Source organism: Homo sapiens, chromosome 19 (assembly GCF_000001405.40).
Source record: "Homo sapiens chromosome 19, GRCh38.p14 Primary Assembly".
Lineage (NCBI taxonomy): Eukaryota > Metazoa > Chordata > Mammalia > Primates > Hominidae > Homo > Homo sapiens.
The window spans coordinates 56140409-56162011 of record NC_000019.10 but is presented as its reverse complement, the minus strand read 5'-3'; the positions used below and the strand labels follow the sequence as shown (position 1 = coordinate 56162011).

The 21603-nt window shown below is 55.9% G+C and overlaps 1 protein-coding gene across 18 annotated transcripts in view, besides 2 other annotated features; it reads right to left on the bottom strand.

The window, feature by feature from the left end:
* Positions 1 to 1118: 1118 nt before the first annotated feature.
* The window catches only part of ZNF444 (zinc finger protein 444), a 28341-nt gene continuing 7856 nt past the window's right edge, over positions 1119 to 21603 (bottom strand). Inside the window, exons 1-6 of one of the 18 annotated variants that reach the window (XM_005259034.3) lie at positions 20655 to 20725; positions 19626 to 19736; positions 15592 to 15765; positions 14804 to 15122; positions 3410 to 3518; positions 1119 to 2388 (exon numbers count right to left, since the gene is read on the bottom strand). In XM_005259034.3, the coding sequence (XP_005259091.1) occupies positions 1811 to 2388; positions 3410 to 3518; positions 14804 to 15100 (984 nt within the window). In that variant the 5' untranslated portion in view covers positions 15101 to 15122; positions 15592 to 15765; positions 19626 to 19736; positions 20655 to 20725 and the 3' untranslated portion in view covers positions 1119 to 1810. The other 17 variants (XM_047439037.1, XM_024451573.2, XM_047439041.1 and 14 more) reach the window with 17 other exon arrangements.
* Positions 20763 to 20902: an enhancer, noted in NCBI's record as "active region_15115". NCBI's record gives its function as "activates an Ori minimal core promoter by ATAC-STARR-seq in GM12878 lymphoblastoid cells {active_cell/tissue: GM12878}" and the evidence as "EXISTENCE:reporter gene assay evidence [ECO:0000049][PMID:35858748]".
* Positions 20933 to 21262: an enhancer, noted in NCBI's record as "active region_15114". NCBI's record gives its function as "activates an Ori minimal core promoter by ATAC-STARR-seq in GM12878 lymphoblastoid cells {active_cell/tissue: GM12878}" and the evidence as "EXISTENCE:reporter gene assay evidence [ECO:0000049][PMID:35858748]".

The window sequence follows — 21603 nt, the reverse complement described above, 5'->3', positions numbered from 1 at the left end:
GCACCCAGCCTTATTTAATTTTCAAAAACAGTCCCTTTTCAGGAGGGGCATTACTACCAGTCCTGTCTTAGGAGGTGGGTGCTGAGGCCTGTGGTCACTTGCCCTTCCTGGATAGCCTGGCACCTAAACCCTTCCCTGCACTGTTGAGTCTTGAAGGCAGACCTAGACTCCAGTGATGTGCACTGGACCGTCCAGGTGGCTGTTTCCAGATGCCCTCGCAGCCCGGCACAGGCTGTACCTGCCCCAGCCCTTGACACTGAGCCAGAAGCTGAAGCAGAGAGCAAGGCAGTGACCGTGGGGGGGCTTGGACGCAAGGTGGTACCGTGGCGGGCTCAGCCACAAGGCGGCAACCATGGAGGGTTTGACATAGAACCCCTCCCAGGCTCAGGCGCTGGGCACACAGGAACCAAAAGGACCAGGGTGAAGCCAGCCCCAAGACTGGGCGGCAGGGGAGTGGTCAGACCAGCGCTCTCATCCTACGCTTTCCAAAGCCCGGCAACTGCCCTTCATCCACCCGGCAGAGGCTACAGATTTCCTCTCTGGAGAGAAGGAACCGGGGTTGCTCGCTGAGCTGACAAGAGGTGGCATCCTGGAAAGATGCAGCTGGCCAAAGCCTGCCCTCCATACGGAGTCCCCCCCTCGGCCAATGGCTCCAGCTAAAGGTGAGAGAATTCCTTGCGTGGCAGAATGGGCCACCCAAGACCTACCAACACTGACACTCAGGACCCCAGTCAAACAGAGTGGCCTTAGCAAGGGAGGTGGGTGCCATTATCATCACTTGCGGATGTGGAACTCATGCCCAGAGGGTATGACCAACCTGTAGGTTCCCAGCCAGGAAGCTGAAGGGCTCAGATGCGAACCTGACTCAGTGTGGCACTCGGCAGGTCCCTTCCAGGAGCCTCATCCCTGCCTCCGTAGGATGGAGGTGGGGACAGCCCTCCTGAGGACACATTTCCTGCACTGCCTCCCACAGCTGTGCCCAGACTCCCAGAGCCTCTCTCATGCCAAGAGAGTCTGTGGTGGGAGCCAAGACAGCTGACCCCAGAAGCCCCGGGCACCCCAGACGCTCGGCCCTGGGAGGGTGGCTGTGCCGGACAGACTCCAGACAGAGCTCAGACTCCGGGTCTACACACAGTGACTTTATTACTCTATGGATGCTGGTGAACTGCCCTCCCCAACCAGCTTCACGGGGGCAGGCATCTCTGTCCATCCCATGCCTTTGGGTCACAGGGGGCAGCAAGACCAAGAAGACCACAGCCAGGCCCTGGGTTCAGCTTCAGAGCCATCACCCGCTGCCTCCCCCAACCCCCAATCTCCTGAGGGAGGAGAATTCCTAGGGACAAGACCCAGACCCCTTTCCTTCAGCCTCTGCTTCACCAAGGGGGCCTGGCCTGCGCCCGAGCTCCTCCTGGCCTGCCCCTCAGGGGTCCCAGGTCCTCACCTCTGCTCTTCAGGCAGGAAAAGGGCAGGGAGAGAGGAATGGAGGAGGGAGAGGGAGGCTGGGCCGCAGGAGAGAGAAGAGGGGGGAAGGAGGAGACATTAGGGAGAGGCCCCTTCACACAGAGAGAGAGGCCGAGAAATCAGGGAGAAGGGGGGGGCTGAGGTGAGACCTGAGAAGGAAAGTGAAATTTGGGGGAAAAGGAGTTGGAAAGGAATAGGAAGGCGTTGGGAAGTTCAGACAAGGGAGGCGCAGGTGGAGGAGGACGATGGGAGGGAAGGAGGAGAGGAAGAGGCCAAGTGGCGCTGGGAGAGAGCAGGTACCGCCCGGGGGCAGCACCAAGGGCGGGAGATGGCGCTGGCCGGGAGGCGGCTAACCCAAGGGCCAGGGCGGGAAGGGGCCTCCACCATCCGGGCCCGGAGCTACCGCCCCCTGCGCGCTGGCCGCTGCCCGGCCGTGGATGCGCTGGTGGCGCAGCACGTGCTCGCGGCGCCCGAAGCCCTTGCCACACTCCCAGCAGGCAAAGGGCCGCGCTCCCGAGTGCGTCTTGCGGTGGCGCACCAGGTGCTCGCGCCAGTAGAAGGTCTTGCCACACTCGCAGCACGCGTGGGGCTTCTCACGGGCGGGCAGAGGGCGCAGCGCGGGCCCGGGGCTGCCGGGGCTGCCGGGGTGCGTGTCGCGGTGGCGCCGCAGGTGCTCCTTGCGCCGAAAGGCCTTCCCGCACTCAGGGCAGGCGTGCGGCTTCTCGCCCGAGTGGCTCTGCCGGTGGCGCAGCAGGTGAGCTGGTTTCAGGGACGTTTTGCCGCACTCGGGGCAGGACGTGGTGCCCGGGGCCGCTAGGAAGGCGGGCAGGCCAGGCGCCAGCGGGGGGCTGCTGGGCTCCTGCTTGTAGGGGCGCACAGCCTGGGAGTCCCCAGGCGCCGGCCCCTCAGCCCCAGGGGCGGTGCCTGCTGGGAAAAGAAAGAGAGTCAGCATCTGGGTCGGCACGAGGGCGGGGCAAGGACAGCACAGGCTGGGGTGGAGGCAGGGAGGGAACGCTTAAAGGCAGAAACCATTGGGGTGGGAAGAGGGCTGGGCTGTGGGCTTCTTATTCATACCTGTGTCCCGGTACCTAGTAGTGCCTGGCATACAGTCAATGCCCAATACATAATAGATGATGGCTGGCTGGATGATGGATGGGTAGATGAATGCGTGGGTAGATGAAGAATGCGTGGGTGGATGATGGGTGATGAATGGACCGATGATGGATGGATGAATGTACAGATGATGGATGGGTAGATGAAGAATGCGTGGGTGGATGAGGGGTGGATGAATGTCTAGATGATGGATGGGTGGGTGGATAACTAGATGGACGGATGGGTGATGGATGGGTAGATGATGAATGCATGGGTGGATGATGGGTGGATGAATGTACAGATGATGGATGGGTGGGTGGATGACTAGATGGACGGATGGGTGATGGATGGGTAGATGATGAATGCATGGGTGGATGATGGGTGGATGGATGGACGGATGATGGGTGGATGAATGTACAGATGATGGATGGGTGGGTGCATGGGTGGATGAGTAGATGGATGGATGGGTGGGTCATGGATAGATGGGTGATGATGATGGATGACAGAGGGATGGTGGGATTGGTGTGAGGGGGAACATGTGAAGGATGGATGGATGCCTGGGAGAATGATAGAGGGATGGATGGGTGAATGGGTGGGTATATGATAGAGGAATGGATAGGTGGAGGGTGGATGATGGCTAGATGGGTGCATGGATGGATAGATGGATGGATGAACCTCCAACCCCGAGGCCCACCCATACCCCCAATGCCCGCCCCTTGGGTCCGAACCCCGGGGCTCCTCAAGGGCTGGGGTCCAAGTCTGTCCTTGTCCTGGGTCCTGGTGCCAGGATCGTTCACTGAACCCCCTCCCCGGTGCTGGGGGCTGGCGGGGAGAACCAGAGAGGCCAGCAGCTCACCTAAGGGAATCATCCCACTGTCCTCCTTTCCACCTGTGGCCCCAGGGCCCTGCGTCACATCCTGAGGCACCCTCGTTGCTGACGACCCATCGGGGGAGGCTGCTGGCCCCTGAAATGAGAGCACAGTTTTGAACTCAGAAACCTGAGCAAGGGCCTCTATTTCTCCCTCTCCCAACCACCGTCGACCAGCTGTGCAATCCCATCCCTGCTGGGAGGAAGCCACAGTCATGCTGGGCGACACTGAAGCTGCCCCACAGAGAGGCCCCCAGGTGAGGAACCAAGGCCTCCTGCCAACCCCCTGCCAGGGAGCCATCTTGAAGCCACCAACCTTCAGATGACAGCCTGGCCAACACTGCACTGTGACCTCACAGGAGACCCTGGGCCAGGTCCGCGTGCCCAAGCCACTCACAGACTCCGGACCCACAGAGGCTTTCTGAGCTGACAGATGTTACTGTTTACACCCCTGAGTGTGGGGTGACTTGTCAGGAAGCAAGAAATAACTAATACACCTGTCTCAGATCAGCTTCGTCCTGCCCTTTGGATAAAGTGCAAGCTCCTTAACAAAATGCAGAATATATAAGCTACTTTTAACTTGGGAAAAAAGTAAACTAAGTTCAGAAACAACTTTTCTTGGTGTGAAACAGCAGAACAGCTGCCAAGCAGGACGGCACCAACCAGGAAGACCAAAAATTTAAAAAGTTTCAGTCCAACTCGTTGTGGTTTCTTCGCCCTACTACATAATTCCTCAAAACCACGTCCCCAAGGGAAAGGGATGAGAATTCTTCTGGTGCCTATGACAGCTAAGTCACGCACCACACCTTTTCCCCGTTTCAAATATTTTTGGCCAGAGGAGTACGTGGATCACAAAGCAATCACTGGTGTGAAAATTAGCAATGCCTAGGCCAGGCGAGGTGGCTCACACCTGTAATCCCAGCACTTTGGGAGGCTGAGGCGGGCAGATCACAAGGTGAGGAGCTTGAGACCAGCTTGGCCAACATGGTGAAATCCTAACTCTACTAAAGATACAACAAATTAGCTGGGCGTGGTGCCACGTACCTGTAATCAAAGCTACTCGGGACGCCGAGGCAGGAGAATCACTTGAACCCGGGAGGCGGAGGTTGCAGTGAGCCGAGATCACACCACTGTACTCCAGCCTGGGCAACAGAGTGAGACTCTGTCTCCAAAAAAAAAAGCAAAGCGGCAGGGGCAAACCACCTGCCCTCACTCTGACAGACAAGAAAACGTTTCCTAAATAAGGGGGTCAAAATACAAGAGCGTGGGCCTGGTGGCTCATGACTGTAATCCCAGTGACTCAGGCAGCTGAGGCATGAGGATGGGGGCTTGGCACAACGCTGACTAGATCCTAGGTGCCTCGCAACCTGGCTGTGGGACCGTGATGGGCTCTGGGGCCCATCGGAGAGAGTCAGAAGAGCACAGTCTCACTCGGGCCCAGAGCACCACCCTGGACCACCCTCCAGCTCCTTGGCCCTTGGCGGGGCTCCCATGACCCTTGTGTGGTGTCAGCCACAGGCAGAGGCTGGGCAGGGGTGCTGTCCTGGCCTCAGCTCAAGGGCACCGGGGTTGACACACCTGAGAGTGGAGCCTGGGAAGCCGTGCCAGCAGACGGTTCTCCCAGAGATCTTGGGCACAGAAAAGCCTGAGATCCACCCATTCCTCGGGGAACTTCCTGGTTTGAGGCCCCAGAGACAGGGGACGCTGGCCAGGCATTGTCCACAGGAAGAGACATCCAGGGCACACCCATGCGGGGACAGGCGCGCCTTGTGGGGCCAGGCACACAGAAGGGGGGAGCATGGAGCAGCCCCGGGGTCCTAACCCTCCCTGTGATTTTATGATACGTATACATTGGGCTCTGTCCACGGCTCCTGGCTCATGACTCCCACAGCCCTTGTTACGGTCTTGTTCTAACGATGGGAAGCTTTAGGCCTCAGAAAAAGAGTCTCTCCCTGACCTTCTGCCCTACTTTCACCTGCTCTTCTTTCTCCACAAGGCAGGCCTTAAAAACTAAAAATATCCTTAAATCTTCCCCCACCTCTGGCCATAAAAAATTTTTCTGACCTAATTTGTCTGATTGTGGGCCATAACACCCCCCTTCAGAAGGGGTCCTGCCCCTACCCTGGAGGAAAGAAAGCCAAAGGAGGCCAAGAAGGGTCTGAACACACAGGCCTTGCGAGGTTTCCCCGCTCGGTCTACTCGGATTCGATCACACCCGTTTTATCTAATCACATTTCTACATGGCTGTCCATGCTTCAGTTATGCCTCTCAACCAAGTCTCCATAAAAGGCCAAAAGGACAGGGTTCAGGGAGCTTCCAGAGAGCTGAACTCGTGGAGGTGGACAGCAAGGTAAACTAGACCTCACCCACATGCCAGGAGGATGGTGCATCCCAAGTCCACAGGGACAGAGGCCCCTGCGCTCGGAACCCTTCCAGACCTCACCATACGTGGCTCTCCATCTGGCTGTTCACTGGTATCCTTTAAAATCTCCTTTACAATAAATCGGTAAACATGTTTCCCTGGTTCTGTGAGCACACTAGCAAATTAACGGAACCAGAGGAAGGGCTGTGGGAGCCCGATGTACAGCCTGTCAGTTGGAAGCACAGATGAAATAACCTGGGGCTTGTGACTGGCATCAGAAATGGGGGGTCAGTCTTGGGATGTGAGCCCTCAACCTGTGGGATCTGGCACTGTCTCCAGGGAGACCATGTTGGAAATGCATTAGAGGACACCCAGCTTGTGTCTGCTGCAGAGTTGATTGCTTGTTCGGTATGTGAGGGGACACCCCCTCCAACATTTGGTCACAGACGTCTTCTGTGGTCACTGATGCTGAGAATAGAAAAAGATACTTTGAGTACGTTTTTTCCACAGATCCCCCCCTGCCCCTGAACCAGCTGTGTCACCTCGGGCAAGCTGCTTTCCTTCCCTGAGATGACACCAGTACCCAGGACGGACCCTGCAGGCTGCGTGGAGACTGACGAGATGCTGCTGCTGTGCAGTGAGGCTCAGCCCTGTCCAGAGAGGTCTGGCCTCTGCCCTTGGCTCCAGGGAGGGTCACCTCTATGCCCCCAGAACACACTGCCTGATGGCAGGGTCTGCTCACCTGGGGCCCTGGGCCACCCGGGTGGGCTGAGCCCACAGCGTGACTCAGGGTTGGGGGTCTGGGCCATGTGCATCAGCTCGGCCTCTGCCAGGGATGGAGGTGAAGGTCAGCATATCTACACACAACCCCAACAGAGACCGAGTGCCGAGCTCGGGGAAGCGTTCCTGGCCAGCAGCACCCCCTGCAGGTTGTCACACGTTGTTGCCGGGAGGAGTTAGCGCCGTCCACACTCCACGGCAGGAGGACAGTTGGGAGCTCCGAGCACAGAGCCTTCCTCCACCCATTCCACTCATCTCTTCCCTTGGCTGGTTGTCATCTGTGTCCTTTCTCTGTAATAAGCTGTGACCCTGTGTGTGACTGACTGAGCCAATTTGGCACAGCCAGGAACACACTGCCTGATGGAGCCCTCCTTACACCCATCCCTGGAGGGCTCAGGAATCGAGATTCCAAAATTGCAGCTGAGGAAGCCAAGGCTCTGAGAGTCCCAGACATGCGTCCAAGGTCACCCAGCTTGGAAAAGGTGGAGGCAGGACTCATATCCAGCTTTGAAGTCTGTGTACTTTAACTGAGAGACTCTGGTCGGCTTTGAAGTCTGTGTACTAACTGAGAGACTTCCTAAGGATGCAGCATCCTCGTGTATCTGGGCTAAGCTCCACCTGCCCCAGTGCATAGGCCTGTCCACCCACTGTGGGATCAAGCTGCTGATGTTCTGCTGAGGATCCCCTAAGGATGAAGCATCCTCGTGTATCTGGGCTAAGCTCCACCTGCCCCAGCACATAGGTCTGTCCACCCACTGCGGAATCAAGCTGCCGATGTTCTGTTGAGGGTCCCATGAGACTGGCTGCAACCTTCTTTTCCTGTGCTGTCCTTGTCCTGTTAGGTGGTTGGGGGTGGGGGTGGGGGTGGCAGCCTTGCCAGTGAGCTGAGGAACACCTTCCCTGTGTTCTGGAAGTTTGTGTAAAAGGGACCAGCCTGGCCAACATGGTGAAACCCCGTCTCTCCTAAAAATACAAAAAAATTAGCCAGGCATGGTGACATGCACCTGTAATCCCAGCTACTTGGGAGGCTGAGGCAGGAGAATTGCTTGAGCATGGGAGGCGGAGGTTGCAGTGAGCCGAGACCACGCCACTGCACTCCAGCCTGGGCGACAGAGTGAGACTCCGCCTCAAAAAAAAGAACAGATGAGAATGATCAGTTCCTTGGAGGCCTGGTAGAACTTACACATAAAGTGCTGGAATCCAGTGCCTTCTATACGCGAAGGTCTTTCATCACCTTTTGATCTCCCCCCTCTGGTTTCCAGACTCTCACATCTGCCACTACATCATGAGCATATGTTGGTGATTTATATTTTCCTAGAAAACTGTCCATTTCATCTAGGACTTCGAATGCATTGTGTACGTTGAACACGGTGTTCTCAACGGTTGTCAAATCCGCTCCATCCCCGGCTTTGCTTGCTTCCACCATCAGTGTTTGTGCTGTTTCTTGTTTTCCTCCTAGTCAACTTGCTGAAGGTTTGCACTATTCTACTATTCTTTTCAAATATTGAGTTTGGACCTTGATTATCAACCTGTCCTCTGCTAATCTTCTGAGTTTGGCTTCTACATTGAACAGCTACCCTGTGCTATTTTCCTGTGCTCCCAGCTGCCTCTGGAGCCCCAGGGCCTCCCCTTCAATTCCGACCTGAGACGCAGGCTGACTGGGGCATTTCCTGTCAAGCTAACCAGGTACTGGCTGGAGCTGCCTCTCCCCACCTCCCAGGCCTACCCCACTGGCTTTTCTCTGCACTTCCCCGATTGGCAGACGCCCTGCCCCCATCCGTCTTAAACTATCCCCTTTCCCTATTGTGTGCCTGAGGCCAGATGCTGAGTGACTACAGCCAGGTCATTCGATCTTTCTGGACAGATCAGATTCTCTCTCCACAGAAGTGAGGAAGCTGACCATACCCTGGTCTTCCTGTCAAATCCTGTATATCAAAGCAGGACAAGAGGAGGCTGGGAACGGTTAGCCATTCCCTCCACAGCAGGAGAAGAGGAGGCTGGGAAGGGTTAGCCATTCCCTCAACGAGTATTTTTGTAGCACCTACTATGTGCCCAGCACCATCCTGAGCTCCAGGGACACATCACTGAACAAAAGACAAGGCCCCAACCCACAGGAGACTATATGAGACTACATTCCAGCTGGGGCTAGACATACCATAAAAAAGTCATAAACAAACTCGACAAGGCCAACGTAGCCAAGAAGGCTATATATTTCTCTAAGTCCCCTAGACTCTGAGGAGATGGGAACAGTCCTTAGAACCATGGAGGCTGTGATTCCCAAATGTCCCCTGTTCTCCCCCAAATGGAAGAGCCTGCCCCCTCCTGGATGACGGGCTCTCTCTTATTGGTGGTCCCCAACTCCAGTGGCTCACACAGGTCATGAGGCACTTTTAAAAAAAATGTGAAAGTCTACTAGCTGGCAGAGGATGCATCCAGACTAACATGAAGGAATCTCCAGGGCAAGAAAACAACCCAGTCTGAAAATGGACAGAAGACTGCTGCAGACCAAATGTCTGTGTGCCTCTCAAATTCTATGTTGAAATCCTAACCCTGAAGGTAATGAGATTACGTGGGGCCTTTGGGAGGTGATTAGGTCATGAAGGGGGAGCCCTCATGAATGGGATTAGTGCCCTTCTACAAGAGACCCCAGAGAGACCCCTTCACCCCTTCTGCCCTGTGAGGACACAGCAGGAAGCCACCATCTGTGAACCAGCAGGAGACCCTCACCAAACACTGAGTTGGCCTTGATCTCAAACTCCCCAGCCTGCAGAACTGTGAGAAATACATTCCCGTTGTTTTCAGCCAGCAGCCTATGGTACCTTGTTACAGCAGCCCAAACAGACTAAGACGTCACGCAACCCAGCAACTGCACTCCTGGGCGCTTACCCTAGATAAATGTAAACGTGTATTCACACAGAAACCTATTCAGAGACGTAAACCAGCTCTATTAAAAAAAAAAAAAAAACAAAACCCTGGAATCAACCCAAATGTCCTTCAACAGGAGAATGGAGACATTCAGTTAAAAAATTACTGAAGCTGAGGCCCGAATCACCTCATAACCGCAACTTCAAATCTAAGAGTAAAATCCCGGCAACGGTATTTTTTTTTTTTTTTTTTGAGACAGAGTCTCACTCTGTCGCCCAGGCTGGAGTGCGGTGGTGCAGTCCTGGTTCACTGCAATCTCCAGCTCCTGGGTTCAAGCGATTCTCCTGCCTCAGCTTCCTGAGTAGCTGGGATTACAGGCATGTGCCACCATGCCCAGCTGATTTTTGTATTTTTAGTAGAGACGCAGTTTTGCCATGTTGGCCAGGCTGGTCTCGAACTCCTGACCTCAGGTGATCTGCCCACCTTGGCCTCCCAAAGTGCTGGGATGACAGGCGTGAGCCACCATGCCCGGCCGACAGTATTTTTTAAAAGTTTCCAGGTGAGCTCTACTGCTTTCTACCAGTACAGGAGCCTCTCCTCGGCTGTCCTCTCCTTCTCATCCGGCAATGTCTCGGTGAAAACTCTGAGGACAGGCGAGGACCCACACACCAGATGCCAAGAAACCCCAATCCACAGTAGCGCCCCCAGATGTCAGCTGTCTATACACCACCGTCAGTTTCCACACACCAGATGCCAAGAAACCCCAATCCACAGCAGCGCCCCCAGATGTCAGCTGTCTATACACCACGGTCAGCTCCCACTAGATGCCCCCAGATGTCAGCTGTCTATACACCACCGTCAGCTCCCACAGACCAGATGCCAAGAAACCCCAATGCACAGCAGCGCCCCCAGATGTCAGCTGTCTATACACCACCGTCAGCTCCCACAGACCAGATGCCAAGAAACCCCAATCCACAGCAGCGCCCCCAGATGTCAGCTGTCTATACGCCACCGTCAGCTCCCACAGACCAGATGCCAAGAAACCCCAATCCACAGCAGCGCCCCCAGATGTCAGCTGTCTATACGCCACCGTCAGCTCCCACAGACCAGATGCCAAGAAACCCCAATCCACAGCAGCGCCCCCAGATGTCAGCTGTCTATGCGCCACCGTCAGCTCCCACAGACCAGATGCCAAGAAACCCCAATCCACAGCAGCGCCCCCAGATGTCAGCTGTCTATGCGCCACCGTCAGCTCCCACAGACCAGATGCCAAGAAACCCCAATCCACAGCAGCGCCTCCAGATGTCAGCTGTCTATGCGCCACCGTCAGCTCCCACAGACCAGATGCCAAGAAACCCCAATCCACAGCAGCGCCCCCAGATGTCAGCTGTCTATGCGTCACCGTCAGCTCCCACAGACCAGATGCCAAGAAACCCCAATCCACAGCAGCGCCCCCAGATGTCAGCTGTCTATGCGCCACCGTCAGCTCCCACAGACCAGATGCCAAGAAACCCCAATCCACAGCAGCGCCCCCAGATGTCAGCTGTCTATGTGCCACCGTCAGCTCCCACAGACCAGATGCCAAGAAACCCCAATCCACAGCAGCGCCCCCAGATGTCAGCTGTCTATACGCCACCGTCAGCTCCCACAGACCAGATGCCAAGAAACCCCAATCCACAGCAGCGCCCCCAGATGTCAGCTGTCTATGCGCCACCGTCAGCTCCCACAGACCAGATGCCAAGAAACCCCAATCCACAGCAGCGCCCCCAGATGTCAGCTGTCTATGCGTCACCGTCAGCTCCCACAGACCAGATGCCAAGAAACCCCAATCCACAGCAGCGCCCCCAGATGTCAGCTGTCTATACACCACCGTCAGCTACAATGGCTATCGCCCAGGCTCTTATTACTCTTCTTTACTTTTACCTAAAACTAAAATAACACTGACTTAAGACCATGTTGTATCATTGCTGGAAATGGAAAGCCAGTATCATGTGCCAGAGAGAGAGGTCATGGGAAATTCCATCACTCACGGCAGTGTTATTCCCGTCTGTGTGGACACTGATAGGAGAAGGCTCTGAACCTGAGATCTGCCCTTATTAAAAAGAGAGAGTAACAGATACAAGAGAGATGCTAAAGACATCCCAGAGCCACAGTGAGAGGTTCGCCTCGGAGCAAGCAGAGAACGCAGGAGAGTCCCGACGGCCTGGAGCCTGGTGATTTCCCGACTTTTAGATTCACTGAACCAACAGAACTCTCACTGCATCCCCGAATGGAAGATTTTTTTTTATTTTGCAAGATATATACATTAAAAGCAACAATAACCACCACCTACTTTTACCATCTTTTCCTAAAAGAACATTTTAATGCCAACAAAACAGATGGCATGAGCTCAGAGTGGTAACAGTGGCTGAAATCTACCTAGACAGCACCCATGTGCCAGGTCCTGTTCTGAGGAGTCATGGAAACTGGAAAGGGCGAAACCCCGAGGCTCACAGATTCCACGTTGGTTCTGTTCCACCCCCACTTCACCTTGCATTCACCTCGCCTCTGTGGCAGACAGAATAATGGCCCCAAAGATGTACACGGTCTGATCCCCAGAACCTGTCATCTGCTGTCTCAGGGCAACAAGGACTCTGTGGATGGGAGGGAGTTAAGCACTGACATGGGGAAACTCTCCTGAACTATCCTGACGGGCCGAATGTCATCACAGGTGACCTAAGACGTGACCACAGTACACCATGGAATACTATGCACCAATGAAAAAGAATGAGTTCATGTCCTTTGCAGGGACATGGATGAACTGGACGCCATCATCCTTGGCAAACTAACACAGGAACAGAAAACCAAACACCATGTGTTCTCACTCAGAAGTGGGAGTTGAACAATGAGAACACATGGACACAGGGAGGAGAACATCACACACCAGGGCCTGTCGGGGGGTGGGGGAAGGGGAGGGAGAGCATTAGGACAAACACCTAAGGCATGTGGGGCTTAAAACCTAGATGACAGGTTGGTATGTGCAGCAAACCTTCATGGCACATGTAACAAACCTGCACGTTCAGCACATGTATCCCAGAACTTAAAGTAAAATAAATAAATAAATAAATAAGTGACCACAGGACCTAAGTGGGTCAAGGTCAGAGGAGTGATGGGGGATGGAAGCAGAGGTCAAGGTCAGAGGAGTGATGGGGGATGGAAGCAGAGGTCAAGGTCAGAGGAGTGATGGGGGATGGAAGCAGAGGTCAAGGTCAGAGGAGTGATGGGGGATGGAAGCAGAGGTCAAGGTCGGAGGAGTGATGGGGATGAAAGCAGAGGTCAAGGTCGGAGGAGTGATGGGGGATGGAAGCAGAGGTCAAGGTCAGAGGAGTGATGGGGGATGGAAGCAGAGGTCAAGGTCGGAGGAGTGATGGGGATGAAAGCAGAGGTCAAGGTCGGAGGAGTGATGGGGATGGAAGCAGAGGTCAAGGTCAGAGGAGTGATGGGGGATGGAAGCAGAGGTCAAGGTCGGAGGAGTGATGGGGATGGAAGCAGAGGTCAAGGTCGGAGGAGTGATGGGGGATGGAAGCAGAGGTCGGAGTGCAGCACTCTGAGGACGGAGGAAGGGCCATGAGCCGAGGAATGCGGGCAGCCTCTAGGAGCTGGAAAAGGCCGGAAACGGATTCTCTCCTAGAGCCTTGAGAAGGGACGTGGCTCTGCAGATGACACCTTGATTTTGGAGACTTGAGAAGGGACGTGGCCCTGCAGACACCTCGATTTTGGGCCATGAGACCAAACCATTTTGGACTTCTGACCTCCAGAACTGTAACAGACTTGTGTGATTTCTAAGCCGCTGCGTTTGTGATTTGTAAGCCGCTGCGTTTGTGATTTGTTACAACCCACTTTTGGGAACAATGACCCGGAAGGAGGGCGAGGATAGAGAAGCCAGAGCCAGCACAGAGGTGCCAGGAGGCAGGAGCAGAGGAGGGGCGAGCTGTATCCCAGACAATAAGAGGGGGGAGTGTCTGGGGGCTGGTCGGGCCGCATGAGAAGGGAGACGGATGAGGCCACTGGCAGCCTTGACGGGAGCTGCTCCCTCTGGAAGGAAGGAAGGCCGCCCGGCTGCCATGGACTGAAGGCTTTGCTCGCTTTGCCTCACCGAGATGCCCCCTCTCTGCTGCTACATCTCAGCACCCAGCAGGCACTCGGTACGCACTTATGAGGAACACGCGACTGCTCTGACTCTTCACCCTCCTGCCACTGGGGACTCAGGCCTGGCCGCAAACACCCCCTCACTCAGGGCCCCTGTGCCGCTCGAGGTGGCTCAGGGCCTTTGCACTGGCTGCTCTCGTGGCCTGGACCACTCTTCTCAGAGGTCTCTGCGTGGCTGCCCACCGCTCATCACCCAGGCCCCACACAGCAGCCACCAGCCATGGGAGAGTGCCACTACTGAAAGGATGGTATTTTGAACACATTGGGGTCCATGAAGTAAATTTGCCTTTTTTTAACGTGCTGACTAGAACACTTAAGATGGCATGTGCAGCTCACATAACACATCCCCCGACAGGACTCTAAGCCAGGCTGGCAACTTCCCTGACGGGGCCAGGCAGTCAACACTTCCAGCTCCTCGGGCCCTCTGTGGTCATCACGGTGGCAAGTGTCAGCCCCAGGTGACATGAGTGGGTGGGTGTGGCTGTGCACCAAGACTTCACCCAGAACGTGAGTCGGCCCTTGCCTGCTGTGTGGTCAAGAAACCAAACCTGCCCAGAGAGGCCTGGCTTTGCCCTCTGCCCCTGGGAAGTCATCTCTGAGCCCTTGGAGCCTCACGCATGATAAGGAGGGTCTGCCTGCCCCGGGGGACTCAGGCCAGCCCAAAAGCAAGATGAATTTGGGGTAGAGTTTGGACCAGGGGGTATCCTTGACTTTCAGGGGGCGGGAGGCTGAGGTCAGCCACACAGAACGGGGAGGAGTCCCCAGTAAGAACCCAGGACACCACGGTCTGAGGAGAATTCCTGGCCGGCAAGACCCCCTGCGTGCGGGCGGGGTGCGGGGAGAGGACAGCTGGTAACTGCGCTCCCTGGAGCCTTCGTGGCCTTCTTCCCAGCTGCTTCCAGCACGTCCTTCTCTGATAAGCCGTGACCGTGAACACGGCTGTGAGTCCTAGAGAACTCGCAAGTATGCCAGGGTCTTGGGGCCCTCCTGACTTGCAGCTGGTGTGGGGATGGAGGGTGCCGCACGTGGACTGTCCCTCCACGCTGTACCGCAGCCTGTACCGCAGCCTCCCCACCGCGAGTCACACTGGTTTTCAGGGGTTCAGTGGTGCTCCTCCCTGGGCTTCCTGGTGGCTTCCCTGGCACCTTCCCCTCTCCCTTCCCCGCTTGCAGTCCCGCCAGGCTCACCCAGAGCTCCTCCAGCAGGGCCACCGCCTCCTCCCCGCTCTGCGGCTGCCGGCTGCACACCCAGGCCTGCGTGTCGGCGGGCAGCGCGCTCAGGAACTGTTCCAGCACCAGCAGCTCCAACATCTGCTCCTTGGTGTGCACCTCGGGCCGCAGCCAGTCCCGGCACAGGGCGCGGAGCAGCCCCAGCGCCTCCCGCGGGCCCGGCGCGTCGCCCAGGTGGAAGCGGCGGAAGCGGTGCCACGGGGAGTCCAGCGCCAGGCCCTCGGCCTCCTGCTTCACGGGCACCGCCACCTCCATGGGGCCTCCCGGACCGCAGCGCCTGCAGGGAACAAGCCGGTGAGACCCCTGCCCGCCGAGACCCTGCCCGCGGTGCCCAGACTCACAATGGGACCAACGCTCTTTTTTTTTACTTTTTATTTTTTGAGACGGAGTTTCGCTCTTTCCCCCAGGTTGGAGTGCAGTGGCGGATCTCAGCTTACTGCAACCTCAGCTCCCGGGTTCAGGCGATTCTCCTGCCTTGGCTTCCTGAGTAGCGGGAATTACAGGCATCCGCCACCACGCCTGCTAATTTTTATATTTTTAGTAGAGATGGGGTTTCACCATGTTGGCCAGGCTGATCTCAAACTCCTGACCCCAGGTGATCCGCCCACCTCGGCCTCCCAAAGTGCTGGGAATTACAGGCGTGAGCCACTGCACCCGGCCTGGGACCCGCGCTTCTGAGCCGCCCACATACCCAGGATAGGCCCGGCCTCTGTGCCTCGGTTTCCCCTGTAAGATAAAGCACTCACCTGCTCTGCCTGGCCCAGGGGGCAAAGAGGTCTCTGTGAGGGGGCAGCGCTCACTCGGGTGGTGAGGAAAGGGTGTGCCCTTCCTGGGATCCCAGGGAGTCAAGTCCAGGCTGGGTCCTGCCCTGGGCCCCTGGCCTCTGTACCTCAGTCCTGCAGCTCCTCCCGCAGCCTGTCCTGAGGATTCAACCAGAAAACACAGAAAGAGCTTGCAGCAGGCCTGGCAGCAGCAGGTCACCATCAGCACCACCCTCACTGGACTTGTGGGGCCGTGCACCCCACACCCTGGGAGCAGACACTTTGCAGCCTACTCAGAAGCCACCCCAACTAACTGCTGTGGCCTGAATTTGTCTCCCAAAATTCACATGTGGAAGCTCTCACCCCAGTGTGACCGTATTTGGAGACGAAGCTTTTAACTGGTAATGAAAGTTAACTGAGGTCACAAGGGCTGGGCCTAATAGGGCTGTGGCCTTATAAGAGAAAGGGACACCGGGACTCTGTCCATCTCTGCCAGCAGGAGCACACAGCAAGGAGGCCACCTGCAGCCTGGCAGAGGCCCTCACCAGGAACTGACCATGATGGCATTCTGAGCTTCCCGCTCCCAGAACTGAGAAATAAGCTCATAGCAGTTCAGTCCACGGTGCTCCGCTATGACAGCTATGACGGCCTGTCCCAGTCCCTTCCGCTGGGAATTTGCGATCTGGGTGCCAGCACTGTCGGGTTCTGGTGAGCACCTCTTCCAGGCTGCCGACGGCCTCCTTTTGTGTCCTCCCATGGCGTAGAATAGAGAGAGGCAGCGAGCTCTCCTGTCTCTATTTTTTTTTTTAATTTTTGTTTTGAGATGGAGTCTCGCTCTGTTGCCCAGGATGGAGTGCAATGGTGCGATCTTGGTTCACTGCAACCTCCGCCTCCCAGGGTCAAGCGATTCTCCTGCCTCATCCTCCCAAGTAGCTGGGATTATAGACGTGCGTTACCACGTCCGGATAATTTTTGTATTTTTAGTAGAGACGGGGTTTCGCCAGGTTGGCCAGACTGGTCTCAAACTCCTGACCTCAGGTGATCCACCTGCCTTGGCCTCCGAAAGTGCTGGGATTACCGGCATGAGCCACCACGCCCAGCCGTGATTGCCATTTTTAAATGCATTAATAAATACTTTACAATTTTCTGTTTTGGTTTCTACTATGATACGTAACAATAGATATGACTCCCATCAATAAAAGCATGTTAGGGTCTTCAGTAATTTTGAAGGCAGAAAGGAGTCCTGACTTCAAAGCATTTGAGAAATGGTGGTCTCTGAGCTGGTGGGCCGAATCTGGCCTGCAGCCTGTTTTACTTAAGTCTCACTGGCGCACATCCACGCCCACTTGCTCACGCGCTGTCCACGGCCGCCTTGGAGCTACCGAGTGGCTGTGACAGGGCCTGGGTGGCCTGTAAGGCTGTCCACAGAGCCAAAGATAGTCACTCGCTGGCTCTTTACAGGACAAGACTGCCGGCCCCTGACCTCAAGGACACTGGAAGATCAAGACAGAAGGGACCCTGATGACCCCATGGGGCTCAGGCGCCAGCCCGCCCCAGAACACCTCTGGAGTATTATGGGAGAAAAGAATCAGTTCTGTCCTATGTGGAGCCCTGTACTTGGGGTCTCTTCATTACAGCAGCTTGGACTGTATCATAAGGAACTATATAGCAAAGTCCCCTTGACCACAAGGCAGAGGGTGGGCACATAATCTGCTTCTAGCCGGTGAGGTCTGAGAGGAAGTCTGTGTTCAGACAATTTTCCTCCTGATACAACCAAAGCCTGGGCTCCTGACCGCCATGTCACTAACCACAAACGTCATCTCATTGCTGGGACGGCTGCCACAAGACCCGTGTATGCCTACTCTCGCCACCTAGAGCCAAATCACTCCACAGTGATCACAAAAACTTTTTCACTGTAAATCCCTGTCACTTCCTTGCTCAGTGCCCTCCAACTGCTTCCTGTGATGCTCAAAACCCAAATTGCTTACTATGGCCATGAGACCATGCAGCCCAGCCCTACTTTCTCATCTCTGCCTGCTCCCAGATTCTCTATACTCCAGCCACAATGGATCCCTTTTTTTCTTTTTTCTTTTTTTTAAGACAGGGTCTCTCTCTGTCGCCCAGGCTGGAGCGGTGGCATGACCTCTCGGCTCATTGCAGCCCCGACCTCCTGGGCTCAAACCATCCTCCTGGCTCAGCCTCCTGAGCAGCTGGGACCACAGGCAGGCACCAACACACCCAGCTAATTTTTATATTTTTTGTAGAGACAGGGTCTCACTATATTGCCCAGGCTGGTCTCAAACTGCTGGACTCAAGTGATCCTCCCACCTCAGCCTCTCAAAGTGCTGGGATTACAGGAGTGAGCCACTGTGCCCGGTCTGGCTCACTTTCTATCTTCTTGGACCGAAGGCCAGTGCCCACCACAGGGCCTCTGCACCTGTGCTGCCTCCCGCTGGATCACTCTTTCCCCCCAATCTTTGCTTACCTGACTCCTTCTCATGACTGAGGCCTCCATGCAATTATTACCCCCTTGGAGAGCCTCCCCAGATCACCCCCTCCGATGCTGCACCCACGTGCCCTTCCCCCAGTTGCTAAGACGTCACCCTTATTAGTTTTCTTTCAGCATTTAACAAGATCTAGTGTTACGATATCTGTGTGCTGACTTTCTTCACTACAATTCATGTGGGCGAGAGACTCCATATTCCAACCCCAGCATTCTGGCTAGCACTCAAATAAACTTTACAGGCTGATCAATCCCATGAGGTTGGTGTTACTACCCCCAAGTTGCAGCAGGAGCAAGGGGAGATGTCTTACCTAAAGTCACTCAGCTAACACGTGGCAGAGCCTGGACTTGCACATCCACAGCCAGGCCACAGCATCACCTCCCACCCCACCCATCCATCAGTTTAAGGGCTGATGAACCTGGGAGCAGGCAGAAAGACTTATCGGAAGACCCAGGCCAGATCCAAGTCTCAAAAGCCACACAGATGCCTGCTCTGCTATAAAAAAGATCCCTCTGGGACTAAGGAGGAATTTCCGCCAGAGAGCAATGCCACAGGCCATCAAGCTGACCCTGTTTGCAATCTCAGAGGTGATCACAGGTCACTACACCCTGGGCTGTCCAGAAAGTGAGCTCTCTGGGGCAGTGACCAAGTCCAGCTCTTCACTGGGTCGGTGGGGCCATCCAGCACAAGGCCTGCTCCCAAGAAAGCACATGCTGTTAAGTAAGGGCCTTCCACCATGTCAATCCACCCTACCATCCAATGAGCGCCCTGTGCTATGTGCATTCAACAGCTGTAACCCTGCTGTCTAGCTGTCTGTGTCCGCAAAGCACAGTCCAGTCCAGAGCCAGGCACCCTGGATGCCTTGAAGACAGCCACTGAGTGGCTAGTGTCTTATACTGCCCCACCCAACCTTCCCAACAGACCTGTGAGCTGGGGAGATGGGTCCCCTCTTACCATAGGGAGATGCTCAGAGAGTGAAGGAGCCACAAATGGGACCCAGATGTGACTCCAGAGTCCACACCAGTTCCACCTAGTACCCCGGCACCAGCACCCACATATGCTGGGTTAATATCATGGCTAAGAGGCTGTGGAGTCTGGCTGCCTGGCTTCAACTTCCAGCTCTGCCACTCATCAGCAGTGTGACTGTGGACGTGTGACTTACCCCCTCTGTGCTTCATTTCTCCACCTGAGACACAGGACTAACAAGAGCTCCTTCCTCTCAAGAGGCTGCTGGGAGCAGGAGTTAGAAGCAGCCTCCAAAGGCTAAGTGCTCGACAAAGACCGGTTTGTCTACTCTAGGTTCCCAACCTCGACATTAATGGCACTTGTGTCGTGGCGGGCTATCCTGTGCAACATACGATGTCTACCAGCATCTCTGCCTCTTTTCATGAGATGCCAGTAGCACTTCCCAAGTTGGAAAAACCAAAAAAAAAGTCTCCAGACATTGCCACATGTCCCCTGGGGGACAAAACCACTCCTGGTTGAGAGCCGCTGGCCCACTGGACAAATATTTACCTACGGCACAAAGGCTCTGGGGCAAATTCCAGCTCTGCCTCCTACCAGCTCTGTGTCCTTGGACGAGGTACAAGGCACCTTTTGTAATACCCTGTATCTCCATTTCGTTGACTGTAAAGTGATAGAAGGAGAACAAAAATGCTGAGAACCACACCTGGCTAGTAAGTGTCCAGTCAGACTTAGGGTTACTTTGTCGAAGTTTCCCTGCGAGGTGCCCAGGGGACACTGCTATGAACACGCACGCAGATTAAAATACTAAGTATACATTGGAATAGGCGTTAAAATCGGATATAGAGGAGGGTGACTCCATCCTGACTGGGGTAGAGGTGGCGGGGGTCAACTTCATTTGACAATAAACAGAGTTTCTAAGCACTTTACACATATTACCGAAGGTAATAATGCCTTGCAACAAGCTAAAAAGGCAGATGCTCCGCACTGAGAAAGCAGCAAAACAGAGCAACGATTCTTATCTTCAGGAATCTCACAACTCTGTAAAAGTTGCACTTGTAGAAGCAGCGCGCAAAACGAGCCACCTGCGCCGTATCTACGTTACAACAATAACCATCGTCCCCGGAAGCCCCTTCCCGCAAACCTTTCCGAAGGGGTCCGGTCCCGGCGCCCCCAGACTCCTTTGTAGGGTCCAGCTTCCCACTCAGCTTTCATCTCACAGCCCACCCTCTGCTAGGGTCCCCTTCCCCTCCCCCACCTGTCCCTCCCCCGTCCCGCCCCTCCCCCTCCCCCAGGCGCCCCTCCCCCGTCCTCTCCCTCAGCATTTCTCTCCCGCGTTCAGGACCTCGAGGATCCACGACCCCCTCCCACTATCCACCCCTCCCCCTCTCCAAGTCCCTCCCCCTCTAGTTCCCTCTCCCAGCCCCTTCCCCATCACTCAGCCCCCTTCTCCTCCCCTCCCCGCAAGTCTCCCATCTTTCCCTCCTGAGGCCCCCGGCGCCCCTCTTCCCATCCAACCTCTGGTCCCTCCCTCGTCCAACCGCCCCCACCCAATCCCTCCCTCCTTCCCCCCTCGCTCACCTCACTCTCTCAGGCGAGGCCCCCCAAGCCCCCTCACCTCCCCGCACATGCGCACAAAGCTCGCCGGGACTCCATGCCCCAGCAGGCTTTGCGCCAAACTCCCCCGTCCCCCTCCCCCAATCCCATACTCCGAGCCGCTCGTTCAGCCCAACAACTCCCCATGAAGCCCCGGCCTCACCCCGAACTACAACTCCCAGGAAGCATCGCGGCAAAGGCGGCTGCCAATTGGCCCTCGCCTGGGGACCGCCTTACTCCTGTTTGTCACCGCGTGGCGTCTTCGCCAACACTGGAACTACATTTCCCAAGATACGCGAAAGCGTCGTCTGCAGCCTATTTGGCCTTGACGGCGCAAATGTCGCGGGCTGTCTGAGCGCGACAGGCTTTGGACTACATTTCCCAGAATGCACGAGGAGGCTTCCCAGTGGTCTGCGCGCGGGCCCTGGACATGCGCAGAAGTGCCGGGAAAAAAAGAGGGAGGAGGAGGAGGAGCCATGGCGGCGTTGTTGTGGAGATCAGGGGAGGCCGGGCACCGCCGGGCATTTGGGAGGTGGGGCCTCCGGAGCTCTAGAAGCTGGCAAGCGAAGAGGAGGAGGAGGAGGAGACCAGGCTAGAGTTCTGCGCCAATCAGGAGTGCAGGCTACGTCTCCTTGACTACGGATCGCATTTTTTTTTGTCCTCCCTCTCCACCCGGGCAGAACTTAAGGGCCGATGTCGGTGCCAGGAATCAGGACGTGAGCAGGCTGCCCTCCTGTTCCGGGGTGGGCAGTGGCTCAGGAGGGGGCCAGCGCGGGGGCCTCGGTTTGGCTCTTCCTGTGTGTGAACCTGGACAGGACACCGCCCTCTCTTTAGCCTCAGTTTCCCCTGGGGTGAATTGGGGGACAGCGCTACCTGCCACGCGTCCTCGCTGTGCCCCTATTGGACAGACTACTGCCCCGTCCTGAGGCCTCAG